Source organism: Homo sapiens, chromosome 13 (genome assembly GCF_000001405.40).
Source record: "Homo sapiens chromosome 13, GRCh38.p14 Primary Assembly".
Classification (NCBI taxonomy): Eukaryota; Metazoa; Chordata; class Mammalia; order Primates; family Hominidae; genus Homo; species Homo sapiens.
In genome coordinates, this window is record NC_000013.11 from 21,998,364 (window position 1) to 22,004,284 (window position 5,921).

The following is a 5,921-nucleotide window of genomic DNA, read 5'->3' on the forward strand; positions in this document are numbered from 1 at the left end:
CTGAGCTAGGCTACAGGAGCCCTGACAAGTGAGAGACGGCATCTGTGCCTACTGGGAGCTGTCCAGTAGGGGTCCAGACACCCAGTCCATGAAGTGCAACTCGAGCCTTCCAGAGCAGAGACTTGTGTGAAGGACCTGCAGCAAGCTGGAGAGAATGGGGAATTCAGCCCCAGGCAGGAGGGATCTTCCCTTTGCTCGCTTCTGCCTCATTTGCTGTCTTTATGCCCAGCCTTCGATGGCTTCAGACTTCCTTCCTCCTGCCCTTTTCTTGCCGACCCCATTCCTCTTCAGAAGCAGGTAGTGAGAGATGAAAAGGGCTGTAAACAGCATTCTACGGTAATGGACGGGCAGGGAGCTCAGAGGGTGGAGGGACTGGGATGGGCAGAGACTGTTTCGTTTGATCTGCCTTTTACAGCTTCCCCCAGGATCCCACAAAGTCACTAACTTTGAAATAGTTAATGAGGGGAAAAAAAAGGCATGTTATTAAGGCAGTTTAATAAGCCTGAGCATTCAGAGGGCTGTGTTTCTAGCACTAGGAGGGCCCACATTATCTTGGATTTTGTGTTCAGTGCTCTGATAGCTAAGCATCATTCCTGAAATGAATGCTTTTGAAAGGAAAAAGTGCGCAAGGGAAAATACACCGTTGGGTTGCAGTGTTCTCCTGTTTGATGTGAATTGGGCTCTCCCTGTGCAGTGCCAGTCCCTTGCAGCAGACCAGTCCTTCTCACGCCACTCTTGGAGAGAATGCCAGGGCATATCAGAGACTTAATGCTCCCCTCATCTGCCTGACAGCTGGTTTGAGTGCTCAGCTGAGCCTCAAGCACACTTCTGTGCTCACCAGCACACAGGAGGGGCTGGCAGCTGGGAGGAAATGCTCTGTGCTGTGTCTGGAGCCTGGACATCAAGACATGTCAAGAGAGAGCCCAATATGTGCTGTGAGGCCTTAGGGATTTCTGATCAAGAGAACTGTTTGCTATTTGGGAGCACGCAGCTTGGACCACCATTCTCCTGCCTCTCCTGCTTCCCATGTGATCTGAGACACCTGCATTCACCTGACCAGTCGGTCCCAAAGCCTGAGCAACAACCCAGCTCCTCCCTGGCCGTCCAAAGCGTTCTTGGCTACACAGTGTCTTTTATGATGCCTGTTCCTTGAATTTTCTGTTGAAAATATTCGTAAATTTTCTGTTGAAAATATTCATACATTTTCTTGTTGTTAGTATTTGAAAAAACATCTCTTTAAAATGGTCATAATGCTTGAGCCCTTCAGTCAGGGCCAGCAGGTGAGAAGTTGGAAGAGTGTGTCTTGTTCTGAAGTAGTTTGTGGAGGAGAGATTTCAGGGAAAGAAGAGAGGTGGAGGAGGGAGAATCCAAGGGCGGGCTGGAGACAGAAGCTGTGGCTGGAACGTGGGCCACTCCAGAATCTGGGTGCAGGAAGGCAAGAGGGCTTCCTCAGCTCTCACCTCGCTGAGGCCAAGCCTGCTCTGGCCCTCACAAGCACACTTCATGCCCAGCTGGGATTTCAGGCCTGCTCCCAGTCCTTCTCAACTTGCTCCTCTGCTCCAGGAGAAGGCAGAGTGATGTCGCTGTGCTTCTGCGCTGGCCCCATTTCTGGGTAGCGCCACACTGAATGCTCACTGTGGTCTCACATGTCTTCTCTGAAATGGATAGGACCTTCTCCAGGGTTATTCTGACTTGTGCTTCTTTTTGCACCCCCTCTCCTAGTAATGATATGGAAGGGAAGTGCTGGGAAGGGAAGGGCGTGGTCCCTTTAAATAACACATAATGGGAAAGTGTTGGTTAGAGGAAGGCATGGTCCCTGGCTAGGGCTCTACCCCCTTGGACCTAGGTGAGGACAGGCATTTCCTGACCAAATGTTGCATTTCGCAAGATCACCCTGGCCTGCCATGCCCCCATCCTGTGCCCATAAAAACCCGAGAGACCCTAGCAAGCAGACACACGGGTGGCTGGATGTGGAGAGGAGCACATCAGCAGAGGAACACACGGGCCGCTGGATGGAACCGGCATGCTGGCAGGCCACTGACCGGCAGAGCGACATGAAGTTTGACTGGGGCAGTTGGAGGAGAACTCGGGCCACCGAGTAGCCTGACTCCAGGGGAAAATCTTCCCACTCCATCCCCTCTGGCTTCGCCCATCTGCTGAAAGCTACATCCACTCAATAAAACCTTGCACTCATTCTCCAAGCCCAGGTGTGATCCGATTCATCCTGTACACCAAGGCAGGGATAAAGAAAGCCCTCTGTCCCTGCCACAAGTTAGAGGGTCTAATTGAGCTGGTTAACGCAAGCCGCCTATAGACAGCAAAACTAAAAGAGCATCCTGTAACACACACCCACTGGGGCTTCAAGAGCTGTAAACATTAACTCCTAGACACTGCAGTGGGGTGGGAGCCCCACAGCCTGCCCGTCTGTATGCTCCCCTAGATGTTTGAGCAGTGGGGCACTGAGGAAGTGAGCCACATCCCATCACACACCCTGCGAGGGGGACAAGAGAACCTTTCCTGTTTCAGTAATTATGGTGATGGTAGTAGTAATGGTAATAAGAACGGAATAGGCATAGGTTACATGTGCTGGCAGCTTCTAGGCACCAATGTGGAGTGCTGGAGTGCTTATGGACTTGCTTAATCCTCATAAACACACTGCTGTGAGATGGCAGGGGAGCCTGCTCAGGATCGCACACCTAACCAGGGCCACACCAGGCTGCCTCACTTCAAAGCTCTTGTGTTGATCCAGGGGGAAATGAACAGAACCAAACGCTGGAAGTTCTGGACCTGAGACAGGAAATGGATTTTGTGAATGAGAAAGCGAGCGGTGGTCTCATTCTGGCTTCACTACTGTGACCATGATAGGATGTGGGCATTTTTAAAGACCTGACAACCCTGGACCTGCCATTCTGCCCAGATGAGTTGGAGGGACTGATCTGTTGGAGGACCGAGTCCCCGCATGGCTGGCAGCAGTCTTCTGCCATTTGTTCTGACGAGGCCGAGCTTCACAGCTGCAGTGGGTGACATTGGGAGCTAAGGAACTCAAAGCAGATAACACAAAACATGCCAGCAATCGAACTCTAGCCTCAACCACTGCCAGCTGTTTAAGGGCAAGATGGATGAGCTAAGAGTGCTCCGAGTTACTGCCCGGCAGTGGGAGCCTGCCTGCTGTGGCCCACAATGCCTCAAAGCTCTGGTAGAATAACTGCCCACAGGGATGAGTTCCTCTCTCTCTTACACCAACCCCTCCCCAGGTCCTTTCTTTTCACACCATGCTAGTGCACAGCCACAGCTATTTGGAGGCACAGAGACTGAGTGCCCACTGCATACGTTTCTCACGGACGTAGCGTCCAGAGATGTCATTTGCAGACTCTGACTGGGGTTGTCTCTCTGTGGAAGAGACACCCCGTGGGGCTGCCTCAGGTGATCCCACCATGCACCGTCTGGTCACTGTGGAGTGGCTAGTGCTGTGTGCCCTTCCTGTTGACATAATGAATTATAGGTTTTGTGTCCAGAGACCTGGTCTGGAATAACTATATCTGGCTCATTTCAAGTCACGTGGCTTCCTTCTTGAAGCAGGAAATATAATATTGACTATGTGGGTGATAGTTTCGCTAAATTAATATGGGATTAGTTTTAATAGTTACGTAGCAACACTACCAGGTCGTATCTGCGATGTGCCAGCCTGTGGGATCTCATCATGTAGTTTGAGAATGAAAAGCATTTTTCTATTATAATCACATATATAATATTAAAAAGCAACAGTAATATTCAAGATGTCCTATCTGCTCATCTCACCAGGTCTACAGAAAGTTGCTCCCATCTGCGGGGAGATGCCTTTGATGGTATTGATCGGCTGTACCTCTGCTATTGATCTGCCTTACTTCCTGCCTTTAGCCCACACAATTTATGGTTGTGTCCACTTTGTCCCCCATCACTAGGGAGGACCATGGTTTATTTCGTGAGCAATTCTAGCACAGAGTAGGTGCAGGTTAGAAGGTATCCCTGCATTCTATTAGACATTATCAGTTTCAGAATCGCCATCATTATTACATAATCTGAGGGCTGGAAGAGACCTTGGGGACCACTGTGAGACTGGTTCTATCCCAACAAATTTGACATTATTCTTTTTAGTCTTTGCTGTGCAATGGAGGGACACTGAAGCTGGTATTAACGGTGAGGCATGGACAGACAGGAGTCACACTAGAGGCAGCAGTGTGGCCAGGGCCTGCTGCCTGGCCAGAAGTTCGCACATCTGCTGTGGTCCCCGCCACAAAACCTGCCTTCGGGAGGCTGCTGAGCCTGCTGAAGGTGGAGCTGAAGTTGGGTCTAATCCGGCTAACAGGCAGCCACTAAGCCCACGTGCACTAAAATGCGGCTGGTCCAAATCAGGATGGGCTATAAAATGACAAATACACACTGGATATCAAAGCATTGGCTTGAAAAAAGAATGTAGAATATCCCATCAATGTTGTATGTTGCTTACACCTTGAAATAATAATATTTGGGATATTTGGAATTAGATAAAATAGATTACTAACATTCATTTTATCTGTTTCTTTTTACTTTTTAAAATGTGGTTCCTCAAAAATTTTAAAAATTACTTTTTAAAACGTGGACTACTTTACTTCTAACCTGCAGTCCTGATCCACAGCCCAGAAGATGGCCTTGAGTCATATCCAGAGGCCCAGTGTGTTTCGGGGTCAGAGTCAGCCCGGAGACAGCCAGGCTGGGCACCAGGGTTCTCTGTCTAACCAGGCTTGCCCTCTGAAGAGCATGGCTTATTTATCAGCTGCCTTGACATCAGCTTCTGCCTCTGTCCTGTGAGAGGTTTAGCCTAGAACTGGTTTCTGTGCATCGTCCAGCTCTAAAGGAATAGTGACAAGTTATTTCAACATGAGGGGCCAAGCTCTGTGCTGGGAATCTGCTGCCTTCAGTTCTGGTTTCTCTCCAACCAGTGAGCTGCTGTGTGTCTTGGAGCAAGTGACTATAGCAGTGGCATCTGCTCACCTCCAGTTCTATCATTTTGTTTTTCTAGAAGGGTAAAGGAAAATGAGTGCCATGAATGCCACCATGTGAACTGGGGATCGAATGGGAGACAGGTTCCGCACCACCAGAATCTTGGATGATTCACGTCGGCTCTGCTTTGAGTGGACTTGCCGTATTTGGTTGAAAAACGTAGCTGATGTGAGCAGCTGTGCAAAGATATGTGGGACTCTACACTATGAGAGCTTCTAGAACCACAAATGCTCAATGGAGACAGTCCTCCATTCTACACTCAGTCTCTATGACTGTTTGTTGGACTCCGTAACTGTGAGTGACAGTTCAAAGCCCCGTCTGGTCACGGTTGGTGAGGGCCTGGAGATAGTGGAAAGAGAGGGCATGGAGGTCCCTGGCATGGCAATGAGGAAAGCACACAGCTTTCTCTTGTTGGCAGCATCAACCAACACATTTTGATTGTGCATTAGGGCTGTTTGTGGTGGCACAGCTCAGTACAGTGTTGGCCATAAAAGGGAAACTAGACCAGAAAAACAAAGCAAAGCAAAGCAAAACAAAACAAAAAAGAAAAGAGAGAAGAAGGCATTGGGAAACTAGAGGAAGAACGACTCTCTAAAATATGATCAGGGAAGGAATATCCAGTGAAATGTGGCATTTGAAGATGGAATGCATGACCTACTAATTGAAAGCTGCATACTAGGAACATTTGATATCAATACAATTTACTCAACCAAATTACTGTTATTAGTGAGTAACAATGACAAAGAGTTATCCAACATCCACACATTTAATTTTGGTGATTATTATTTACGCGTGATTTATTACCCCCAGTGCAAAGCACAGCTGGAAGGATCACAGAGATGACTCGCAAGTTCCTAAGGCCAAATTTTTGTTTTGTTTTGCTTCGCCAAAATGATGGTTTT

General features: G+C 48.6%; 1 annotated feature.

Moving 5' to 3' along the window:
* Window positions 484–653: an enhancer, noted in NCBI's record as "experimental_32608 CRE fragment used in MPRA reporter constructs". NCBI's record gives its function as "activates a minimal promoter by MPRAs in K562 erythroleukemia cells, with activity observed for the introgressed 13:22573071 variant allele {active_cell/tissue: K562}" and the evidence as "EXISTENCE:reporter gene assay evidence [ECO:0000049][PMID:34662402]".